The sequence below is a fragment of the Homo sapiens genome, chromosome 5, assembly GCF_000001405.40.
Source record: "Homo sapiens chromosome 5, GRCh38.p14 Primary Assembly".
Lineage (NCBI taxonomy): Eukaryota > Metazoa > Chordata > Mammalia > Primates > Hominidae > Homo > Homo sapiens.
In genome coordinates, this window is record NC_000005.10 from 151,887,675 (window position 1) to 151,913,637 (window position 25,963).

At 41.5% G+C, this 25,963-nt stretch overlaps 1 protein-coding gene across 4 annotated transcripts in view, besides 1 other annotated feature; it reads right to left on the bottom strand.

Annotated features, from left to right (window-relative positions):
* The window catches only part of GLRA1 (glycine receptor alpha 1), a 102,339-nt gene that overhangs the window by 65,162 nt on the left and 11,214 nt on the right, over positions 1–25,963 (bottom strand). For 2 of the 4 annotated variants that reach the window (NM_000171.4, NM_001146040.2), the window contains exon 2: positions 4,637–4,764. The exons of 1 other annotated variant lie outside the window; for it this stretch is intronic. In NM_000171.4, the coding sequence (NP_000162.2) occupies positions 4,637–4,764 (128 nt within the window). Of the gene's footprint in view, positions 1–4,636; positions 4,815–22,540; positions 22,595–25,963 lie in introns of those variants that run through there. One more of the 4 variants, XM_047417105.1, reaches the window with a different exon arrangement.
* Positions 17,994–18,288: a silencer, noted in NCBI's record as "tiled region #1877; K562 Repressive non-DNase unmatched - State 24:Quies". NCBI's record gives its function as "represses a minimal TATA promoter and a strong SV40 promoter by Sharpr-MPRA in K562 cells {active_cell/tissue: K562}" and the evidence as "EXISTENCE:reporter gene assay evidence [ECO:0000049][PMID:27701403]".

The window sequence follows — 25,963 nt, forward strand, 5'->3', positions numbered from 1 at the left end:
TATTCTGTAGGAAACAGGTTTAGAGGAAGGAAGGGGCATGCTCACGATCACACAGACAGTGGCAGAGTCCAGAATTTTCAGCACTGGGTTTCCAAATAAGCTGACAAAAAGGGCTGACATAAAATAACCAAAGAGAAATGCAAGACCATGGGTAAGAGTGGTAAAAGCAGCAGGAGTCCAGGTGAGAGAAGTTCTGGAGAATAAGGCACGAAAGACCTCAGAAAGGTGGTGGCCTGGAGATGACTTTGAAGGTGAATAGGACTTGGATAAATGGTCACAGCCCTTCACATAAAGATTGTAATTTGCAATTTGTGATTTGCTTTTCAGGTCCACTTTCTTGATTCCTATGAGGTACTGAGGTAGACAGGGCAGAATTCTTGTTCCTACTTGACAAAGGTAGCACCAAGAGTTTTAGTAACTCACCTAGGCTCATTCAACTAACAAGTGGTAGAACCAGGACTTGAACCAAAGTTTTCTGATTGTGGAAAGAAGAAAGTAGATATGTCCTTATGCCCTCTGGCACCCATTGCATTCTGTCCCTCTTGAAAAAGTAGCCCAAGCATTTTGCTCAAACTAAGCTAGGATCAGAAGTCTTGGCATATAGGAGGGGACTCAGTCTTGGGATGAGAAACTAGGTTTTTCCTTCAAGGGATTATCAGGATTTCTGGGTTTTGGACATAACTCCAGCACTCACTGGTTGTTTACCTCGGCCATGCCTTTTCTCTGTCCTGGGCCTCAATTTCCTCATCAATCTGGAGAGAGAGTAAGTAGCTCTTGATCTAGGCGGTCATTCTCAGCTTCAGTGGTTTGGAATTCCTTTATGGAAGCTATCCATTTACATTTCAGGGTTGTAAGATTTTAGGGCTGGAAGGTTTCTTAAAGGTCACCTCATCAATTTCTTCCCAAACTGAAGTGCAGACAGGGTTATCTGCAGAAGAATCATCTGGGAACCTGTTAAACTACAGATTCTTTGGCCCAACCCCACACTAAGTAAAACCAAATCTCTGGAGGTTAGCCCAAGAGTCTAGTGTTCAGAGAGCTACCTGGGTGAGTCTCATGCACAGCCAGGTTTGGGGACCACTGCTGTAGACCAGCTACCCATTCAAGGCTGAGTGCCTGAATACTTCCAGCAGTGGGAAACTCATTTTGTCTTAAGCAGCCCTTTCCATAGTTGGATAGCTCTGTCTGCTAAATTTTTTTGTCCTTGTGTTGAGTGGAAGTCTGCCTCCTTGTCACTTCCACCTAAATAAAGCTCAGGTGGAAAAAACTTGAATGGTCAGGATTTTTCTCCTTTATTTAGACTCAGACCAGGTTTTTTTTGTTGTTGCCTCATGCCATTAAGATACCCCAAGGAGTTACTGCCTATGCCTTGAAATGATGTGCACAGAGTTCCCACCCAGTCCCTGCAAGTGTCTGGCACTGTGACTCCCATATAAATTAGTTTCTGATTTATGTGTGCGAGAGGACACTGGCCAAAAGGATCCTATGGGAAGGTGCGGTTCATTGAAATAAATCTGAAATTAAATTATCTTTGAGAAAATTACAATTTAGCTGCCTTTGGCAGCAGGATAATGTATATATTTCACTAAATGTTAAAGTTTAATTTTGCTTTTTTGTATGTATTTGCATTGGGCTGTGCCCCTAATCCTAGGAGCCATTATAATACACAAAGTCATAAAGAAGACACAGAATAACAGAGCTGGAATGGCCTAGTCCTGCTGGATCATTTTACAGATGCAGAAACAGAGGCTGAGATACAGTAAGTGACTCATTTGGGGTCATGCCTGTCAGGTAAGTAGAGGGAGGACTGGAATGCTGTTTTAGTGCCCTTTACTTCTACCTCACAGTTTCTTTGCCATTGTACTCTGCAGACTGTGCTTGCCATTCCTGGCTACCTGTGTTTTCACGAGGGTCAGGAGCAGGGAAAATTTCTAGCACCTAAGGCAGCTGCTGAGTGATGGATCCCTCCGTAGAGGTTTTAAACAATGCAGACCTCTTTCTATCATGTTGGAGTCATAGGGGCCCTGATCCTCAATGGCCTTTTCAGGAGCTCTATGGTTTGTATGGGGTTTTAGGGAATCTGATTTGTGTCGGTGGAAGCAGGAAAGGCATCAAAGGGCTCAGGGCAAGAAAATCCTCTCAGCAATTTTTCAGGCCTCAGTACAAAGGAGGGCAGAGAAAACTTCTCAGCTCCTGCGGTGGGGCTCCAGGAAGCTGCACCTCATTCTCAGTCAGGTGGGGGTCGAGGGAGTTAAGGCTAGTTGCAGGGTTGGGACGGGCCTAAAAGATGAACTAGTTCTGTAGATATTGGGCCCAAGTGTTCCGAGTAAGCTTCTCAGAGTGGGAAGGTTGGACGGACCTTGATTCAGTGGTCAGGATAAAATTTTATTTCTTAAAAATGCCCACTGCTGAGTAAGTAAATAAATAAATGAACAAATAAATAAATCACTATTATTAGACAAAGAATTAAGTTAGAGTAACTGGGTTAAAGTCTCTGGTTTTGACAGCATGACTTGAAAAAGTCACTTAACTGCTCTAAGCCCTAGCATATTTGTGGGGTCATTTATTTATTCATTCATTTATGAAGGTTTACTGGGGCTTTTCTATGTGTCAAGTACAGTGGTATGCACAAAGAATAACTAACACATAAACCCTGGATGCACCCACATTCAACAAACGAATGAGTTCCTCGTTTCTCAGAGCAAGACCATGGCCCCTCCACTCAGGATGGAGTTCTGAGAGAGCCCACCAAGGGGCGTGGTGGACTGGAATTCCTAAAAGCAGAGAGGGACAGAGGATGCAACCTGGTTGCCAAGGGCCCTAACCAGTTCCTGGAAGTGTTTGATTTGGCCAACAGTGTTTTTAAAAGAGGTGATTTAGTTGTCAATTTGCAAGATTTCAGATAAAACCTCAGACTTAAGTCTTGTCTTGGATGGCCTGGCTGAACAGGGTCTGCATTCCTGCCTAACAGCCATCAACAAGAGCTGAGAAGTGGCTGCCCTTAGATAAGCCCTATGTTCTCTGGTTTTATTTTCTTATCTCCACCCTGCTTCATTCATATACTATAGTTGTCTTGCCCCTCTAGGTATTAGAGGTTGTGACCCTGGTGAAGGCTTGAGCTGAGTGTGCTGGGACAGCAACCTTGTTATTGACTTACCTATCCTGGGGGTTATGTTAACAATGCTGGAAGCTATGGCCTCAGGAACAAGGTGCAGGGGGAGTGAAGGAGCCTCAAGGTAAATGGGGAGAGTGGGCCCAAACAGAGACCTGGGTGCATCTCTCAGAACATTTTCTATTTGCAGAGCTGTGCGGAGCAAGCACTCTGAGAAGGGGACTTGAGAGCAGGGGGCAAAGTGAGCAAATATTAGGAAGCTGTTACCAGCTGTCACATGCCTTGTTTAGTCTTGAACTTGAGCCAAAGGAACAGTGAGGAAGGGCACCTGAAATCAAGGCTTGTCTAGGAGGCTGGCTGCAGGTCCTTGGAATAAGATTTTTGCAAGGATGCTGGGAGGAAGGTCAGAGTGCATAGGCTCCGAAGGAGGTCCTTAAGACTGCACCTGCAGGGCTCTGCTCGGCAGTTTGAGATGGCTGCAACCTCCTGAGGCGTCAGTAAACAAAGGGAACTAGTCTCTTGGTTATAGACACTAAGTTCCCATAGGGTTATGAGAGGTAAAAGAACCTTTTCAGGTCATCTGGAGTAGAGTTTGTAAATTGGCAACCCACAGGGCATATGTGGGTCACAAACATGTTTTATTTGAATTTACATGTTTTAGGAATTAGGAAGTCTCACATAGATCTCGGTATCTGGCTCTTCTTGGAATACTTGATGCTCTGGAAACATGGGGCCTACATTTCTGCAGGGCAACTACAGGCTGGGGCTAAGAAGAGGCTGCCCCTGTAGAGGAGCCTGTACCTCTATTTCTTCATAGTCTCTACCACTCCCTACTGTCTTACTCTTGGTTTGCCTCACTGATTTAAGTTATCTACCCAACCCTGGTAGGCATTTGAAATTATGACTCTGATTTAGACCAAAATTTTTCAAAATTATTTGTTAGCCCGTGGGAAACTTTCAGCTGAAGAATTTTAGTTGGGAGCCCATTATTGAAAATAAAAGTGGAGCTGTTTGGGGAGGAGCAGGGTGGGCTTGCTCATCATGCCCTCTGCTTCTCCTTTGGGGGCACCTGCTGGAAGCCTGAAAGCTCCGTGAAGCGTATGTTTAAAAGCTGCCAAAGTTGCCAAGCCCATTACTATACAGATGAAGAAACAGAGGCCCAAAGAAAGGGAGAGACTCATCATCTAAGCTCAGAGAGTAAGTTTGTGCCTGAGCCCAAACTTGAACCCATTTCTCCACGTTCCATGTTTATCCTTCTTCCCATCATACAAGAAGTAGCAAATAGTTTTTAATTCACTTTTGGACTCCTGGAAACCAGAGGTGCTGTTAAATTGCATCCTCTGAGGCTTTGTCTGGGCTTGGTGGGAGAGAAGACTGAATTGATTAAGAATGTCTGCCTTGGGTAGAGGAAAGAGTCATGGGATTCACACTGCGTATTTACCATCTGCGTGCATTACCATGCTGCTTGCTGCTTTAATCTGGGAAAGCATTTCCCTGTGGGTCTGGAAGGAATATTTTCTCTACCTTTAAAATTGGGCCTGATCCTGGCATCATATCCGGAGGTTCTCCCCATTAGCTTATCCAGGAAATCCGAGGGTGACATAGGCTTGGGTGCGGAGCGAGCAGCTTCAGCCTCCTTAGAAGCAGCAAGGCTAAGGAGGAAGAGAGGAGAGCAAAAGGTTAATGATGGCTCTTTCTCATGCTGTGATCAGATCCCAGCCTTGTCCAACCTCTGTAGAACCACAAGAGTGTTCTTAGCTGGAGTAATATGGGTAATATGGGTCCTTAATGAGGTAAGGCCCAGGTTAAATTGTTTACCCAGCCCAAATATCAGCCGGCATGGGATCCTGGCAGGCAGCCAAGTGTCTGATTGATGCTGAGAAGTCACGGACATTTTTAAGGCTTCATCTCTGGGATTTTGAGTAATCACACTTGGCAGCTGGGTGTCCCTGGGAGAGAAGATTGGAGGGTTAGTCTTTTGGTAGACCTAACCTTGTGTTGGGCAACTGCACTCTCACAGGTCCATGGAGCCACACGGACAGAAAGGATGTTAGAGATAAAATAATTTGCCATTTCCTCAAGGTTTATTTTCAGAATCAGAGTCACAGTTTTTTAAAAAGTTGCTAAAGTCAGATGCATTCTGGAACACAAATTTTATCAGGCATTTTTACCTCAAGTCTCCTCAGAAGCTTTGACAAGCTTATATGCTTGTACTTATGGGATCACTGTCTCAAGAAACATATACTTCACAAAATCTCACTTGGGAAATTGAGGCCCAGTTAGCAGAAGGGACTGACATAGGACCCAGAGTAAATCAGTAGTGGCTTATTTCACTGTATCGAGAGTTAGGTGATTAGAAGTCAAACAGGGATGCATTACACTGTTTCTGTCACCCCTCTCCCACCCCACACCCATTCAACAAAGTGGCTTTAAGGCCCCATTCACACCACAGTATGAATTACTCATGTATTAAGAACATGACCCTCCCTCTGCCCAACTTTCTTTCTTTCTTTCTTTCTTTCTTTCTTTCTTTCTTTCTTTCTTTCTTTCTTTCTTTCTTTCTTTCTTTCTTTCATTTTAGTTCTGGGATACATGTGCAGAATGTGCAGGTTTGTTACATAGGTATACATGTGCCATGGTGGTTTGCTGCACCTATCAACTTGTCATCTAGGTTTTAAGCCCCTCTTGCATTAGATATTTGTCCTAATGCTCTCCCTCGCCTTGCCCCCCACTACCCGACAGGCCCTGTTGTGTGATGTTCCCCTCCCTGTGTCCACATGTTCTTATTGTTCAACTCCCACTTATGAGTGAGAACATGCAGTGTTTGGTTTTCTGTTCCTGTGTTACTTTGCTGAGAATGATGGCTTCCAGCTTCATCCATGTCCCTGCAAAGGACATGAACTCATTCTTTTTTATGGCTGCATAGTATTCCATGGTGTATATGTGCCACATTTTCTTTATCCAGTCTATCATTGATGGACATTTGTGTTGGTTCCAAGTCTTTGCTATTGTAAACAGTGCTGCAATAAACATACATGTGCATGTATCTTTATAGTAGAATGATTTATAATCCTTTGGGTATATATTCAGTAATGGGATTGCTGGGTCAAATGGTATTTCTGGTTCTAGATCTTTGAGGAATTGCCACACCAAACTCTTAAAGCATATAGATTTCAATAAGAGTCAATGTTAGAGGCTCAAAGGTTGAAGAACACTAATTTTGGGTTGCTTTGGGCAACTGAGCTTTCCTAGTACTGAAATTATATCCAGGAGATAGTTAGGAGCCATAAGCAGCACTGACATGTGCTTGTGGGGCTGGGATGTTGGAGGAAATGCATAGAGATATGAATGTATGTGTGTGTGCGTGTGTGTGTGTGTGTAAGGTGGAACCTTCTGTCACCTAGTCATGCAGCGCATAATGTTCCCCAAGGATTTGTACCCAACCTGTCTTGTTCTTCCTCTCAGCTTCTTTTCTGGTCTCATCAGTTGTAACTATTTAAGCAATCAGTTAATAATGGATGACTCTCAAATCTGTCACCACCCTGGCCTCTTCCTTAAAACCCCCTTCCTCATTTGCAAACATTTGTGGGATGCATTTATCTCAATGTTCTGCCAGTGTCTCAAATTCATCTCCCAAACTGAACACTACAGCTTCCTTCCTAGACTTGCTCCTCCAGATCAGTTTCCCCAGATGACGTCAATATACTTCCACTCTCTAGGATTAGACGCCTCAGAGCCATCTTGTCTTCTTGCTCCTCCACCCCACTACCCCCCATAAACTCACTCACCAGGTGCTGATGTAGTTATCTGTGTTTGTGTTTTAAGAGCAGGAATCATGGTGGTTTTATTTATTATTTGTTTGTTTGTTCTTTCATTCCCCACTGTGTCTACCATGGTGTCTCATACATAATTGGTGCTCAGTAATTGCACAGTGAATGAATGAATGAATAATGTGCTACTTTAATTAATCAAATATCCTGGCTAGTAAAAAGTGTTCATAAATATTTATACATGGATTAACAATTTAAAAATAATTAGACAATTATACACAGTAATGGAAAATACTGAAAGCCATCTGGTATTGCTTTGAAGATTCGGAGGGTATTCTAGGACTATTTAGACACTGTTGCTTAATAATCTGAAGATCCTTACTCATATCCTGGGGAACTAATTTTGATGGACAGGGTGAGGAACAAATGCACTTTAGTTTCTTTGTGTGTGTCTATGATGTAGGTGAGTTTGTGTGATGTGGGTGGGTTTCTAGGTATGATTGTATAGATGTGTTATGTATACAGATGGATGGATGTGTATGGATATATATGGGGATTAGAGTGTGCATGGAGGTGTTTGCAGATGCATAGTGAATTGGGTCACATAGGTTTGTATGTACAAAATGTGAATTTCTGTGTTCATGTGTATGTATTTCAAGTGTGGCATTTAATATGGGCATTTTGTGTGTGTATATGTGAGATGTGTGTGTATGTGAGCTGTATATATACATGGGGTATAGGGTGTGGATGTGTAAAATGCTTCTGTAGATGTATGTCTGTGATGTGTATATTGCATGTGTTTGTTTTTGAAATGTACTGTGAAATATAATATAGAATAGTGCAAAAGAGTGAAAAGAACAGATGATTTGGAATTCATCCTGTCTTAGTCATTTATTAGCTGTGTCACCTTGGGAAAGTTACTTAACTTGTCTGAGCTTTAGTTTTCTTACCTGTCAAATGAGGTAAGGAATAACTGAGGTAGCATAGTTAAAAATACCTAGGACTGTTCTTAGAACATAGCAAGCACTCAATACATTGTTTTTCTCTTGCAGCATGGTGTGTGTGTGTCTGTGTGTGTGTGTGTGTGTGTGTGTGTGTGTGTGTTTGAAGCAGTTCAGAGTGGGTCTGGGGCTGCTCCTTGTCTCACAATGCTTTCAGCTGCACCATGGAGCCCACATGGCTGGAAAACCCTCCCAGGTGCTTCCCATGGCCCACAGTTGGGGCCACTGTCCATTCAGCACTGGACTCATGGCTGCTGTGTGGCTCTGGTGTGGGCAGAGGGGACCACAGGCACGCAACTAGTGATTTATGACTTTTCTGCTGTTATAGTTCACTTCTAGAACCTCTCTAGGAGTGGCAGTTACGAAGCTTTCATAAGCTCCCGTACTCTCTCCAGCCCCTCCTCTCTGATAATAAGATTTGGGAACATAGTACTCCCTCCCAGCAGTTGCTGGAGCACAAGCGATCTCTTCGCCCTTAGGCCTCTCTCATAAGCCTGAATCCTATTGGGCAGTACAGTGGGAGAATGAATTCTCCCCACATCATCCCATACCATTTGGTATTAGCATAACATGCCATTTAATACCAGAACCCTCCCCAAAGCTGAAGAGTCTTCTGGTTATTCTAACTTGCATGTCTGCAGTAAGGTATTTGCAGTCTGGTCACCCAGCCACTGGCTCACTTAAAACCTTGGCACTGAGCCGAAGTGGAGGGAATGAAGACCCCAGGGGGTCAAGTAACTGGCTCCAAGTCACACAGCACTTTAAAGAGAGAAGGAATTAGAACTTACATTTTCAAGTGTTGACTCATCCAAATGCTACAACGTAAGGGAAAGTCTTTGTGAATTGTGAAGAGTATAAAATCATGATAGTTATGCTATTATTATGATTTATTTCTGAAGCTTGTTCTACCCTCTTCTATCCAAGCAAGTCAAAACATGTCTGAATTCTAGCAATCTGTATATACACTGCTCTGAATTTACCACACTTAAAAATGAAGAAGAAATAGTTGTGAACTACCCGGTAATCCTCTGTTTTGTCAAGTGATTCACTATGCATATTTTGAAAATCTCTAGTCCAGCCTCTCCCATATGTTATTTACCAGCTGTTTCCTGATATCACTTTCACAATTTTTGCCGTTTGTTCACCACCTCTATTAGTCACTTAATTATTTTCATTAAATTGTCTCACTTCTTTTAAACTTAAACTTATTTAAAAGGAAACTATATTTCACTACTCACAAATAGAAAACTAATATTACTTGCCATAATGGAAGAGAACCATAATAGCAAATACAATGACAACAAGACAAAAAGAGAAGAGTTTACAATTCTAGTGATCTGCTGCTTGCCAATGTTCTGAGCCCAAGGCCTGCTCTAAGTTACAAAGGAAGTGCAGCAAGTGTTGGACAGGCGTTAGAGGCATATTAACACCTAACGAGACTCCTGGAGTTAATAAGAAAGATTGGAAGAGAATTGGTTCAATAATGATTTATTGTTATTATGTCAGTCACTTAAAATCCTCCCCCTCCCTCACTGTGCTCTAGGCCAAAAGTTCCCAACTCTTTTCCAAATACAAAGGCTCCATATTAATGCCAAAGTAGCTATGCCTCCCTCCACTTGATAATCCTTGTACATTTCTGTCTATATTTAGACAGTACAATTTGCACAGGATTATTCAAAACTCCCCCTCTCCACCCTGGTGAATCTGATGTGCTGTGCATCTGTGTAGAGTAGATATGCATCGGGGAGCTCTTTTAGTACCACAATTCCCGGTTAACTTAAGCATTTGCTTATAGACCATGAGCTGCTGGACAGAGGAGCTGGGAATGAATCTGAGAAATGAAACACTCAATTGTTAAAATTTTCTGAACCTTATAACAGTATTTGGAAATGATGCAGTTTTTTTTTTTCAGAGATTACTAAAATACAATGGGTGAATCAGACTCAGTTTAGGCAGATTTGATTAATGGTAATTTTCAGAAAGAGAGTGAGGTCTTCTGAGACCAAGTTTTCTATTCCTTACTGAGAAGGCTTATTGCAATAGATGCACTGACTATACAAAGTATTAGACTATTATACACAGAAATGAAAAATACTGAAAGCAATCTGGCATTGCTTTGAAGATTCATAGGGTATTCTAGGACTATTTAGACACTCTTGCATAATAATCTGAAGATCCTTACATCCTGAAGAGCTAGTTTTGGTGGACAGGATGAGGAACAAATATATTTTAGTTTCTTTGTGAGTGTCTATGGATGTAGGTGAGTTTGTGTGATGTGAGTAGGTTTCTAGGTATGATGTATTATGTATGTTATGTATACAAATAGATGGATGTTTATGGATGTATGTGGGGATTAGAGCATGCACTAGACTGTCCACCACCTTTTGGTCAGGGGATTTGTCACACTAAGAGATTTTGGTACTTAAAGGACCTCAGATGTTACTTCTAATGACAGAGACCATGCAAAGCTCCAGGAGTAGAGTTCAACAGAGGGGTTGGAGGCAGGGTGATATAATGAAGTAGGGGCTGTGTGACCTTCAGTGAGTCACTTCCCTTGTTGGCTTTCAGTTTCCCCAGTTACACAATGAAATTAAGATGATCTCTAAGAGCCCTTCCAGCCCTCAGCCATCATTTTATGAGTCTATAATATTCCTTCTTTTTTTTTTTTCATACACTGGTCTCGGGATCCAGATTTGTCTGGACTTTTTTGGAGGAATGGGATTTTGTGTCTTGGTTCTTCCTCACCTAGTCTCAAGATTTTTTTCTCCAAGGGGCCAACCTGTTTCTCAAGGTTTACTTGGGAGAAAGGCCAGATCAATGTTCAGATTCTCATTCTCCAGTTGCAACATCAATTGAAATAGGGAATCAATATAAAGCTGTCAATCTGAATTACAGATGAGCTAGGGTTGCAGTAAGACTGGGGAGAAACAATTTCAACTACATTTTGCATGGCACCACACCCCCAAGAACCACTCTGGGTCAGCAGAGGGGATCCCTCCAGTCAATTCCCTCTCCAGTTTACCATGAGCAGAGAAGTCCAGGAGGTCAGGATGGAAAAGGGGGAGGAAAGACAAGGAGGGGGCAGAAGAGGGACTAAGAGGCTGAGAGTAACCAAAGGAAGGACCTATACAGCTGGAGGAGGAACTTGGAGGTGCAGATTGAAGACAGGGAGGTGGGAGGTGAAAGAGGAAGAGGACACTGTAAAAACGAAGGAGTTTGAGGCACAGTCAGCACTATAATTGAGGAATTCAGCGAGTACAGTGGACAGGTACCCAACTACACTTGGTGAGAGGATGAGAAGTCTCCAAGAGGCTTTGTGGAGAAAATGACTTTTTAAATAAAACTTGAAGGTTAGATATGGAGTTGGCCTGGAAAAATATAGGAGGAAGAGTGTTTGAGGTAGAAGGAACAGCATGTGTAGTTTAGAAGTGATAGACAACTTGGAGAACCAAAAGAAGAGTTTAGTGTGTGTATGAAGGAGGGAGGGAGAGAAGAGAATGGGAAATGATGAGAAATGAGGATGAAATACTTGTGGGTAGGCTCTGTCTTGTTCAGTGCCTGGCATGTAGTAGTAATTAAAAATTCGATTTGACTGGCCTTTGCCCTCTAATTATTTACTGTCCAGTAGATAGAATAGTTTAGGTACTTAAGAAATTATAAGAGGCTGCCACTCTGCTTAGGTGGCAAAATTGGACTGCTATGGTGGCTCAGTGGTGGAAGGCAGTATTTGAGGGGAAGGCGGGGATTAATCAGAAATTGTCTGAGTTTTATTAATTGTAGCCTCTGTGTGCTTTTAGAAAGACCCAATATTTGCCATTTTCAAATTGTGTATTCAGGGGAGAAAGCTTTCTCCTGCCCCATTGCCTGTGGGCTGGTCTTTTTCTAAATGAAAAAGAAATGGTGGATGGTGAGGAGTGGTGGGTGTCCTGGGCTTCTGGGAAGAGGTGGGGCTGAGCTGGGCTGGCACTCTTGGCTTTCTAGGCTGAGCCAGTTTCCCATCCCCGGCTCTGACCCCAAGGGACTTGGGGATTGTTGTGCAGCCTGGGCCCTGCTGGTCACCCTCAGCTTTGTCTGAGTTGGATCATCAGGTCAGCATCTGGCTTCCCGCAGCCAGCTGTGCAATTCTGATTTTATTTGATTGCAGTAAGGGGCTTAGGCTGGCCAGGGAGTGCTTGACATTTTATTACTGTCACTGTCACTTCATGATCTGCTAAGCACCCCTGGGAACAGAATGTCACAGTTGGCATGCCCTGAGCCCAATTCACCTCAGGGTCTTATGGAACAAGACACCCCTCCCCCTTCCTGTCCTACCTCCCACAGTTATGACTGCTTCCTATAGGGAACGCTTATCTGAATAAGAAGCACATGTATTTGAACATGATTTTCTTCTTGTAGCAAGGTAAAATCCTGGATTCTTGGAGCTGGACTAAACCTTAAAATCTCATCTGGTTCTGCCTCTGACCCTAAGGAAGTCTGGTCCTCTAGGGATCCCATATACTCTGTAGCATCAGTTTCCATGTTTTCCTCTGGATAGCCTTCCATCCACTAACTCTCCTGCCTTATCGTATGTATCCCCACAAAGTAGGGCCACCTAGAGAAAGAAGAATGAGGTACCTAGTAAAATTTAAGGAGGCACTCAATCCCAGGGTTGCATAAATGCCAACCCTGCACTTGCAGGGACCAGAGAGTGAGCACCTCATTAAATTTTGTGCCTCACCTGCTTCACTCTAGTCCTGGCCCTGCTACAACATCCTAAATCCCGGAGCTTGGTCTACAGGGTGGGATTTCCTGTAGATGATCAAATCTATTTGCCCGATGAGGGGGTCTTTACCTCTTACAGCATCCTGCTTTATTTTTAAAAAGCTTTTTTGTTTTTCTTGTTTGGTGGCAAGAAATGACATTAATTGAGCACCTGCTGTTCCTAATGTGGACTCTGAATTGCACATTACATATTTTATCTCATTTTATCCCCCAAATAGCCTGAGAGGTAGGGATGCCTGTCTCCATTTTACAGGTGAGAAAACTGAGGCTTAATCAATTTTGTGGCTTGTGACTTGATCTGTCCAATTCTGGCATTCCACACTGTATTTGCTTACATTATATTGACGTTTTCTTTTTCTCATCTTCCTTCTCCTTACTCCAGGTGCATGTGTGAAGGCTGAAGTCATGACAGTCCTGGTCTTTTCTGTTTCAAGCCAAACTTTCAGCTCTGTAACCTTCCTTTTTCTCAGAATTGGGGCCATCAAGGTGTTATATAGACAAAACCCTGAAAACATGATTTTCACAAACGTCTTTTCAGCCTCTTAATAAACATGGTTTTCATGAAGTACAGAGCCTGGCACATAGTCAGAGCTCAGTAAATATTTGTTAAATGGATGATATATACCCGAAATTCCAGAGGAAGCTTAATTTAGCTGTGCAGCATTATTTGGCATCAGTGATATGATTTGACTGGAGTCCAAAGAGTCCTAAACTCTGGCTCTGATACTCTTAGTCAGCCCCTGGGGAAAATATTTAATGTCTTCAGGGAAAATACAAGGCAGAAAAATAAGAGAAAAAGTCATTTCTTTCAGTGGTATTCACACGAAATGTCTTGGACCACTGGCCTAGGTCAAACCTATGTTTGCGCATAAACCCCACATTCCTGCTTCCTTATGTCCTTATTTATAATGCTACCACAACCATCTCACTTTGCCCTAACTGTGTGTATATGTCTCACTTGGGAAAATTTTCCCATGCCTCTGACCTTCAGTGTTATTCTGCAGTCTGGTCCTACGGTGAAAGAATGCTTGGCTTAAGCATGGGGGCATCAAGTGGCCCTCAGATGAGTTACAGTGTGAAGAATCCAGGGGGATTCTTCAGAGGCTTGAGTGTTGAAGAACAAGCCTATGGGGTTTACTCTGACTGAGGGAAAGCTCTTAGAAGGCCCTACATAATCAGCATGCATCCCACGAGTTGGACAGAAGAGCAAATGGCTCTCATTACCTTCAATGCAGCTTTCTTTTTAATCAGATAAATCTCACTGGAGAAATGTGTCTTTGCAGAGAATGGAGCCCAGGCTTTTGGACAGAAAGTTTTGGGGAAAAAGATTGCATTAATCAGCAGGCATTGGTCATTTGAGTTTGCAAAGGCCTGGGAGTATAGATATTGAGGAGACATAGCAGTAGGATAAAAACAGATGAAGACATGATATTAGCTAATGACAGTAATGGCTATCATTCATGATACTTTACATATTTCACTGGATTTAATCTTCTCAATACCATGAAGATGACATCATTATCCCCATTTTATAGATGAGGAAGCTGACACTTTCATTTTCAGAAAATTTACCTGAGGTTATGCAGTTTGTAAGTGGTAGCCCCATGAGACAACTGGTCTCTGAAGCCCATGGTATTAATCACTATAATTTATTGACTCTTCCAAGTGATAGTGATTTGCAGAGTCCCTCTGAGAAGCCTCTCTGGTTCGTGATATAAATGTTTCCCCATAACTCTGGAATTATAACTGAGAATTTTGGAGCTCCGGGAATTGGAAAATATAGGTTGGGAACAATGTAATTGATAATCGTTTGCACACATGTAACACTTTCAGTTTTTATGGCACTTCTAAATCCATCACTACATTTGATCCTCATACCAGCGCTGTGACAACATCTCCATGTCCAGGTGATGACACTGAGGCTCGATTGAAAGGTAGGAGGCCTGCTCAGTCTCAGATGGTAGAACCATAACATAACTGGAGCGCTCCAGGTCTGATCTGGGTTATCTTCTGCTTGACTCTTTGGCCATTCCCCAGAACCAATCACGGTACGGACAATACCTTCTTGACTGTTTATTACATCATTTCTGTCACACTTCCTCTGTAGTCAACTTGCCTTTTGTTTTACCCTTTTCTCAGTTAGCTCATCTTGAAAATACTATCTGCCTTTAGAATGGCAAAGGATCACAGTAATTTTACAGATGCTATGGAAATAAACTTTCATTTCTCAGGTTAGTCAACTTTATTCATTAGGTACTTTTAGATGCTGATAATCTCATTTTAGATAGCATTAGTTTATTATTTCATTTACTTATTTACTTAAAATAATTAGGAAGTGCCTATTATATTGTCAGAGATTATAGTAGGTGTTAGAGGAGGTTACAAATAAAATAATAACAGCCAGCCCTTATTGAGTGGTTATGAAGTACTGTACCAGGCATTACACCAAAAGCTTTATTTACAATACTTAATCCTCAAAATAACCCTTTGAGTTGGGGTGTAATTACCTCTGTTTTTCTGATGAGAAAAGTGAGGTCCATAGAGATTAAATAATTTATCCAGGTTCACCTGACCTTACAAACTTCTCTCTTAACTATATTAATGATGAATGTGCAATAGCCATTGCTTTCCAGGGGCTCTCAAACTAGTAGAGGAAAACTTATGTGAGAACAAATAAGTGCTTTAATGTCCAAAGCCATTAGAAAAAACATATCACTTTTCCCTTCCAAGTCTATACTAGTGCAATCTCAGAGTGGAAAAAAAAGCCAAGCTGCAATGGACCCATAGGAAATGCATCAGCAAAACTATAGTATTTATTCCAGAGAAAACAGAGTTTTCATAGGAGTGGAGCTGGGATGTGTGTGGTCTTCAAGTATCCAAAGACTATGATTCAAAGGAGGATGTTCAGAAAATAAACAATCCTCAGTAGGCACTGAGGAAGAAATGATTTTAAATTGTAGAAAGGGCAATTTGGATTAAAACCTGAAGCTGCCTTTAATAAATGGAGTGACTGGTCTTCAGAAAGTGAGCACTTAACTGTGAGTTGATAGGGTTTAGCTGAAGTGGGTATTTGCATGTAAATACAGAGTTTTAGGGACTCTCCAGGGCTCTAATAATGCTCTCTAAATAGCCTTTGTTGATTCCCTTGAATCCTCTAAGACAGAGTCAGAGCTGCAGCTATGCTCAGTGGGGTGGAACTTCTTTGTTTCACTCAGCAGGTTCCAAAGTCTTGGGCAAGAAGTGAGTAGTAGAGTCGTAGAATTACGAGACCTAGTCATCCTGTGCATTAAAAAAGACATTCATTGATCACCTGCTATAAATTAATAAATGTATATTATACCCCTGCAAGACTATCATCTCCATTTTATAGATAAGAAAACTGACTCAGAGATTAACTGAGAATAGCAAAGGCTACTACCAATGACCAAATGCTTTCTAGGTGCCATCCACAGTTAAGAACTGTTCCATACAGGCTTTCTAATCTTCCCAACAACTTTATGAAACATCAAGCATTTTCTTTTCTATTTTTCAGATGAGAAAACTGAGACTTGGGGAGATTGACTGACTTAATCAAGGTGACTTAGTGGCAGAGCTGATACATAAATCTAATCGAGGTGAAATTTTGGCGCAAGTTTTGGAGCAGCTGTTCAAATCTGCTAAAACAGCTCACTCAATTCAAATATGCATGGTTTTAAGTTTCTACTCTTCTGTGGTTTAGTATAAGCTTCTAGAAGGAATATTTACTTAGGAGAATTCAGGAAAAGTATCATTGACACCTTGTGGGACTTAACGAGATGGAAGGAAGAGTGATGGATGATGAAGAAACAACAAGGCTCTGTGGCCAATGCCCCTTTACCCTTTCAGGATAAAGGAGCTCTAGGGTCGTTGCTGAGGTTTTCTTCTCTTCTTGGGATTTCTGTCCTTTTTACCCTGTACCTTCAAGATCCTCCAGCAGGTCACCCCTTTCTAACACACAGGGGGACCAAACGGGATCCTGAGTCCCACTGCTTTCTGCTGCTTGTTGCGTGTCTCAGAGGCAAAGAGAAGCAACCTTGGAAATGCGACAAGCTGTGGATGTGGAGTCAGAGATTCTGGGTTTGATTTCTATCTGTTGCAATTCTTCCTTGTATGATCTTGGGCAAGTCCTTTACTACACGTAACCACCAGCTTCCTCATCCATAGCGTGTAGATAGCTCCTGCTCTAACTTTTAAATTACTATTTAAAATAATGTGGAAGAAAGCATAAGAACTTGTTTTTTGGCTGAAAAAGGGCATGCTCCAGGGCTAAGCACATGGACTCTGGCCTCAAATCAGGCTCTGGCTTTTGCTAGCTGTGCAGCCTTGGACAAGTTACTTATTCTGTCTAAATCTTTGTTTCTGCATCTGTAAAATGAGGGTGATAGTAGTTGTTGGTCGTAAGCTTGTTGTAAGGAATAAGCATTCTTTTACAGTGCTCACTTTGGTGTGTGGCACAGTGTAAATGTTCAATACAATTTTTATTGATTCAAAGAGAGTTGGCAGATCTAGGCTTTGTGATGGGGGATGAATATATGAACTTCCAGAAGCTTTTTGTGCTTTATATTGGAATCTAGAAGGGCCACCCACTCTGACCCTAGAAGAGTACCACAGCAATCTCAGGTAGTTCTACTATGCTCTTAGTAATTTATCTGTTATGTAGTAAATTAATAGTATTACTTTGGCATTTCAGTCAATAGGATTAAGATGATCTGATGGTAACAGAGCAGTAATTGCTGCTGCACATATGGAAACTGTCCAGTGGCAAAAACTATTTTTTCACAAGCTGGCTGGTTGCCCTCAGACCAGATTCTTTCAACTCTTAAAAAAATAACATTTTCCTCTGATGATTAAAGCAAAAAATGCACATTGGGAAAATACAATGAGGTTCAAGGAAAAAAATGAAAACCCACCTAGAAAACCCATTATCTAGATATCTACTGTTAACATATTGCTAAATTTCTTCCAGGTTTTTTTCCTCTACAGATCATAATGAGTGTTGTTTCCTCTTTATTTTTGACTGAAGATTCTAAATGAGCATTTTCTATTGCTATTAAATCTTTAGAAACACAATTTTAAATGACTGCATATGCCAGTGTGTGGCTGGCATATGCAGTCATTTAAAATTAGTATTTATTTTGCTCTCCCACAATTGATAGGCATTTATATTATTTTCAATTTTTAGCTATTATAAATTATGCTGGAAAAACCCCCTTGGTCACAAACCTCTGTTCATGTCCTAGAAGCAAAATTGCTGAGTCAAAGCTAGAAATATTTCTGAGGCAGAAAGGCCATAGCAGAGTAAAGGAGCCCCTTCCAACCCCCCAGGACCAGCAACTTGGCTGTCATTGAAAATTAATTCTTCATAAGGCAGTGTGCTAGGGGCAAGGGCTGAAGTCAACGGTGAGTAAGTAAAAGTTGAAAAGGAGAGAGGTGACTGCTTCCACCTTTTCCCTTTTCCTCCACTGACTCACATTGCCCATGAAATTGTAGACATTGGAACGTGCTGGAGGGGAGAAAGCGAGCTCTTAGTGACAGATTGTTCAGAAGCCCAACATTGCTTCGTGCTTTGCATTTCCTTTTCTGTTAAATTGCCCTGCATATGTCTTCTGCCTGTGTCATATTCATTTTTTTAAATCCCTGAAAGTACTTACATTTTGCAAGCATTCCCTAAATGCTCGAAATGGGGGGTGGGATAACATGGTGGACTCAAATCTGATTCTGCCGTTTATTAGCGGGTTCTGATTTATTAGCTGTGTGATCTTAGGCAAGTCACTTAACACTTTCAATTTGTTTCCTTATCAGTAAAATAAGGGTAATAATAGGGATACTTTCTATAATTGTTTGGCTAAGTAAGAAAATACATATCAAGTGAGAACTGCAGTGCCAGGCACAGAGAAACTACTGAGTATGTTAGCAATTATTACAAATAAAAATAAGGTTCAAATAATCTGCACTAAAATCTTATGCCAGCCTAAGTTTAACCTAATAATTCTTAAGAACTTAGAAAAATCCGAAGACTGAAAGAGTCAGGAATGCAGGAAATACCGGATGTGGGCTGTACTTCACATCTTGGCTAATTTATTATATTTAGTTGTAGGTCCTGCATTTTAAGAGGGACATTAACAGGCTGGAGCAGGTCCAAAAGGGAACAATTGGGCTGGTAAACAAACTTGAAATTGACCTGTAAGGAATAATTAAAGACTCTGTGGGTGTTTGGCTCAGAGAAGTCTTAGGCAGAAGGGATCGGTCCATTGGGCTGTTGGGGGAAGAGGGACCCAACTTAATAAAATAATTTTTTTGAGTATTTTTATTTTCCAGACATCGAGCTTTGCAAATATTATTTATTTTTTCTTCTCCAAAACACTACATGAGGTATGTATTTGTGTATCTATTGTACAGATGAAGTAACAGGCACAGAGGCAGAAGTGACTTGGTTGAGAGTTAACGTGGTTAATAGGTGGAATGGTAGGAATGGAGCCAGGTCTTTCTAATTTTATAGTTTGAGTACCTTCTACAGCCCACTGACTTGTTCCAAGTGACTAGGGAAGACCTGTCGGACTTTTAAAGAGCAAGATGGCTGCCTGATACATGTGAGGAAAGAATATTTAGACCATTAGAGCCATCCAACAATGGAAGAAGCTGCCTGAGTAGATGATGAGTTTCTTGTCACTGGAAGTATTCAAGGAGAGGCTGAACTTCTCTGCTCAGTAGCATGCTGTAAGGATGACAGCTGAGGAGTGGGCTGGAACTGTGACTTTATTACTTACTTGGGTGTTCTGGAAAGTTGCTTAACTTCTCTGAGCCTGTTTCTTCATCTATAAACTAAGAATATGGCCTAATTTTAGAAGACTTACAAAAAAAAATACAGATAAATTGTTTAGCCAAGAAGCTGGTATACAGAAGTTGCTCTTTATATATTAAGCGAAAAATTATCTATAATCTTTCTATTTGTATCTGTGGCTCTCATTTATTTGGCGACACTGTCTACTCACTTCTTCACTGGGAAAAATTTTAGACTTGGAGAGGTCACCTCCTAGGTGAGTATTTTACTTCACTTCTGCAGTGGCAGGTACATGCTAATTTCTGTCCCCTTAGGCAAATGACAGGTTGGACTTTAAAACAGGGGCAGTGGAATAAACAAAAGGAAGAATATTCAAACTGAAATGTTAAGCAATAGAATAGACATTATTGGGAGAAAGATTAGAACCACACAGCTAATAAATCATGTCACCCTATGGATCAAATATCAGATGGGTTTGAGGAGCCCACTATATGCCCAGCACTGTGCCATATGCATTAGAGTTCAATCAATCGGAGGCACTGTCTTTGTCTACAAAAGTCTCAAGGCCTGGGATGGCCCAGACAGTTGTGAAAAGATTAGCTGATAGGACTGAGTATTATTCTGTGCTAAATCTTTTGGTTTGGATTGCAGCCCCTGGGCAATTAGGGAAGGGATGCTCAGAGGCAAGAGATGGAGAAGATGACCTTGGAAGGTCTCTTTCTTGCCTGGGATTTTCTCCTTTTGATGATGCCCAGGATTCTTTCTAGCAGGCACAATGCTGTAATGTTGCAGTTGTGGCTCCCTTGGGCACATTCTCTAGTCATTTCCCCAGGACTTTCCCCATAGCCTGGGAATATGCTAATAATTGTTGTCCATAATCTGGCCTGGAGGAGGAAGATGTGGATGAGGAAAAGGAGGAAGAGGTGAGGAAGAGGAGGAAGGGCCGCCCTTCTGAGGGCTCTCTCAGCAGCCTTCCTTCCTGGGCTTTGAGAACAAGGCAGCATCCTGTCTCCTCCCAGGTATCCATTCAGGCCCCTGTTCTGTAGACATCAGTCTAGGCTCCTACCAACATCAGCCATGGGTCCCACCAGCAGGAAACATGGAGTTAGTTGCATGAAGAGAAAGCTTTTATTGTTGGAATTCTTGATGTGAGGATCCTTCCTTTTCTTTCAACAAGATAAGCAGATTCCAACTGCTTTGGAAAATATCTTCCTTTCTCTATCCTCTTGTTTCTTCCTCCTGTCATCATTCCTCCTTAACCTTTGCTTCTTCCCTCCTACATTCTTTTTCCCTTCTGGTTTCTCTACCTTATTCCTTTTCCTTCATTTGTTTCTGAATCCTAGGATGATGAAGTTGAGGGAGGTCTTAGAAGTCCTCTAGTACAGTGTACTCATTCATTTTACAGATGAGAAGAATGCATTTCCAAGACAGAAAGAGACTCACAGAATGAGTCCTTGGTGGAACCCAGAGTAGACCTGAGTTGAGTGCTCTTCCCTCTTTATTACTCTGCTTATCTCCACATTTCTCTCCCCTTTCTTGTTTTTTTTTTAAATTGTTCATTTTATTTCTTGCTCAATACTCTTTCTTCTCGTTTGTTGCTTCTTAATCCCATAATGTTAAATGAAAACAAAATCAGGATTTTGGGTAGAAGAACTGAAAGGGAAGTGTGTTGTCAAGTTCTTCCCATTGTGGCTGTGATTTGGGGTGAGCCCCTCAATTTTCCTCCTCAGAGTCTCTATCTACTTTCTCCATCCTACCCCGCCATGTCTTTGGAGGGGTTTGTCCACTGTCTTTCTCCATATGAAGACTTTGAACTTGAATTGCCAAGGTGCCCTAAAGGGGTCCTAGGTTGGTAAGATCACTGCCTTAGTCCCTTCATTTACAAACTGGAGATGATCATAGTATTTTCCTCACAGGGTAGCTATAAAGATGAAATAGTTAATACATATCAAGTTTTTTGAAAAGTTTCTGGCATATAGTAGGTTCTAAATATATGTTATTCATATTCGCTGGTATTATTAATTATAAATATTATTTAGAGGGATTTCTGTCCATAAGGAGAAGGGTCGAGAGTCACAGATGTCATTCTAACATAAGGAGAGAAAAGAAAACTATGAATATAGCTCAAATAGAGACTCAGCAAATTACACAAAGGGTGACCTGATCTCAGCTGTGCTCTGCTTCCTGAATGTGTGCACTTTTTACCCAAAGGCACCATCTTTTCTCCAACCATTTGAATTCAAATTGCAGCCCATGGTCATGACTTACCCTGAGAAGAAGCTGTTTGGAAGTTAAGAGTAAAGTTAGGCCTTGCTCAGAACTGACACAGTTTAAGAAGTCCTTCTGATACTTTCCATTTTCTCCCAGGTAGTGTTTAAGATGTGATGACAGAGTGCTGTATTCTCCAAACCAAAATCACTTGCATGTCATATAATAAGTTTTGCCCAATTTATGTACTGTTATTTAATTTATTTTTAATTTGATTTTTAGTCTTAAATGTTATCAGTATCATAATGGAATTGGTAAGTTCTGGTCCCTAGTAAAATAAAATAAGAGAAAATTATCCTGTACCATTATAGTGTATCTTGTAGACTATTGGTGTAACTCTGATTTGATTTTAGGGAAAGTTGTCATGGTAATAAGAGACTTGGAATTCTCAGTTCTTGTCTGGGCTGGACATTAATTTACTGTTGACTTTGGACAAGTCCCTTTCCCTCTGGCCACAGTTCCTCCCTGGGAACTGAAACAACTGGGACATGTAATTCTTTCCATCTCTAACTTTTTTTTTTTGTCATGAGTAGGAGTATTTTATGAAATTGCACAGTGAATTGGGTAGGGCTCCAGTCACCCTGATGAGAGTATGTACCATCCATCACGTTGTTCTGAGCACCCAATTTTATAATATAACTCTAGCCTTCCATTTTCCAGTGACATTTTGCTTCCAGCACAATGACTTCTGTGGGAAAAGCAACTTCCATTTGTTCAGAAAATTCTCCTAAATACACGAAATAGTTTCAGCTTCTAGGCTGATTTTTACTTAGAGAAAACAATCAAGACGGCACTGGTTTGGGTGACTCCAAATGTCTTTCTTTCCTACCTGGTACAGGTTGCCTTTTATTAAGGTGGGCTCTAAGTTTGGTTGAATGCCCATACTCTCTGGCATCCTCTTTTATTAAAAAATATATTTTCCAGCTTTTCAAAAGTAATATATATTGTTGTAAAACATTCAAGTATTACAGGAATATTTAATGCAGGAAATAAAAGTTCCCCATGGTCTCATTCTCAAGAGACAATAACAACTATAAACAGTTTTCAGTCCATTTTTGTAGAATTTTTCCCCATAAGAGAACATTAATACATATAAAAAAATAAAAATGGGATCCTACTGTACAGACTGTTTTGCTATTTGCCTTCCCTTCTCTCTCCACTCCTCGTAATCATTCATCCTGGCCATTTTTGACTTTTCTGCATGGAATGAGGTTGCCTGCCCATGATACTAACTGGCTGTGTGACTTTGGATGAATCATTTTTCCCCTCAGGGTTTCAGTTTCCTCAACTATAACAAGAAACAGTCCTCTCCAACCTGCCCATCTCCTATAATATAAGGCTTAAGGGAGATAATGGAGATGTATGAAAGTGTAGGCACCTTGAGGGTGGAGTTGATAGTAGACTGTTATGTGTTACCCTCTCTTGCTTTATTGGGTTTATAGCACTTACTAGGTCCTGCAATTCTATAGTTTCTCTATTTGTTTAGTTGTTTGTACCCCCCACTAGAAGTTAAGGTGTGTTAGAGCAGGGACCATGACTCTGTTCCTCAATGTATCTATCCCCAGAACTTAGAACAACTCCTGGTTATCGTAGGAATTAATAAATATTTTTTGGATAATGAACAAATTATTCTCTCTCAGCCAGGCTTCTAATTGATAGAAAGCCCATTGGGAGAGAATAGGGCAGAGCAGGACTGGGCTGAGCCAACATAACAGGGTGGATGCCTGGCCTACCCAGTGGCCTTGAGCTCAACATCATTCAGCTTGACTGTTCTGCAAGCCTTTTTCCTTTGTTTGCCTCACTCTCCTGATACTCTTTGCCTACCTGGTAAATTAGTCATTCTTTATGGCCCAGTTTAATTATCCTGAGTCATGTGAAATGTCTTCAATTTATACCATCTCCCACCTCCAGACAGAGTTAATCAGGCTCTTTTGTATGCTCCCACAACACTTTGCACCTATCCTACTTTAATTATAGTAATAGTGGTTTTCCTGCTTTTTACACTTGTTGCTTGCCATATGCAATGCCAACTATATGCCCTCTCCCTTTTAATACTTATGATAATCTGTCAGGAAGGGATAATTATAATTCCCATTTAACAGATGAGGAAAATCGAGGCTTAGCAATTTTAAAAATAATCTTGCTCCAAGGCATACACATAGCAAGTAGTATAACTAGGATTTCGGAATATGTATGATTGATTCCCAAGCTAGAGTTTTTTTTTTTTTTTTTTTTTTTGAGATGGAGTCTCACTCTTTTGCCCAGGCCGGAGTGCAGTGGCACTACCTCTGCTCAATGCAAGCTCCACCTCCCGGGTTCACGCCATTCTCCTGCCTCAGCCTCCCGAGTAGCTGGGACTACAGGTGCCCGCCACCGCACCTGGCTAATTTTTTTTTGTGTTTTTAGTAGAGACGAGGTTTCACCGTGTTAGCCAGGATGGTCTCGATCTCCTGACCTCGTGATCTGCCTGCCTTGGCCTCCCAAAGTGCTGGAATTACAGGCGTGAGCCACCGCGCCCGGCCCCAAGCTAGAGTTTTTAACTGCTGGGCCTTCAATATGCCAACTTAATTTAAGAATTAGGCAATGACAGCTGGAATGACCTGTAGTCTTTACATAGTTCTGTCTCATTTTAGGCATGGAAAAGCTGAGACTAGTTACAAAGTTAGAGCAGAATTTGCAGGGGAAGGAAAATCTTGCTCTAATATCTAGGCTGTCCAATTTTGGGCAGCATGGAGCATTACATTTTTTTCTGGGCCGTATCACCTCCTTTTTTCAGTAGGCATAGCTTTTTACAGTCCAAGCCATATTCAATACATTTATTCAAGCACCCTCTCTCTGGGCATGATGCAGTCTCTTATTTGGCTCCTGTGAAGACTGTTTTTTTTTTTTTTTTTTCTACTAGATGTTTTAGGTCACATTGAGGAAACTACCTTTAACTGAGGTAAGTCCATACTTTCTTCATATTTAAAATTATTTTAGAAAGTTTTCCTTGTCTTATGGAAGGGGCTTCTCTGCAGGACTTGGTGATGGTGAAGAGCAACCTTATCTGCAATGGCTCAGATGTTTTGAGAGGCCCAGAGTTTGGACATGCCCTGTCAGAGAGCAAGGGAAAGGTTGAGCGAGCAACTCACTGCAACAGCTACGGAGCCAGGGCTGCGCTGCCATATCTAGCTCACATTCTCACTGTGACTCATTTCTTGGAGCAGAAAGTGGTCATGGTGAGATACAGCAGTGCTTTAGGGTTGGTTGTTTGGAATCTTTCAGGTCCTGGGCTTCTGCAGAGCCAATAGAAGGAGGATGGGAGCAGGCATTTGGGGACAAAGCAATTTGATTTAACAAACACTGAGTGTTTGATATACATGAACCCCTGGGATGACATTATCTATGAGGGGGTAGTGGAGTAAGCTGAAAACTCTGAAAAGCACCAGGAGATGTTTCTCTTTTCTTCCTGTTTGCTTTTCACATGCATCAAGAAATTCATTAAGCTCTAATCTTTGAGGGGCTTACAATCCAACAGGAAAGCTAGAGGGACACCCAAATGTATGTAAGGTCCCTTTAAACAAACTGAGTGCTAAGGATAATGCCTATATTTCCAAGAGGATTTAGGAAGAAGAGTCCGTGCCCAGCTGGGGCTAGGTATAGAGGCAATCCAGGGACAATTCATGGAGGAAATGATGCTAGAGATGGGTCTTAAGGCATGGATAGCATCTCAGAGAGAAGGAGAGGAAATTACCGTTTGTTAAGGGATTGTGCTCTGATAGGAAAATGTGTTTGAAGTGGGACTTCGTGTATCTATCAGTGAAGTTGTTATTCTCAGTTTTTAAGATGAGGAACTTGAGGCTCAGAAAGATTGAGCAAACTGCCAAGACCATACAGCAAGGAAGTAACATAGGCAGGATTCAAAATCAGATGAGTTTGAACCTAGAGCTGGTTGGTGTGTCTTTTACACCAGAGTGAGGGGGAAGTTTTCCAGATTTATGGAGAGTATAGGGCACAACATGAGTTACAATACAGAGGTGAGACTTATGGATGTACTGCTTATGGACAATGAGAAATCCATTTTGGGTTGGAATTCAGTTTGTGTGAAGTAAAGGAGTTGTAAATAGCAGTGGGGGCTGTGTGCGGCAAGCTGAGAGTTTCGTATTATGTTAAAACCTGGCATTTTCAAGAGAAGGGCAGCACAACTGCAAAAATGCATGAGGTAGATCCATATGCACACTGACAAGATATTCCTGAGTGATAAAAGAGAAGT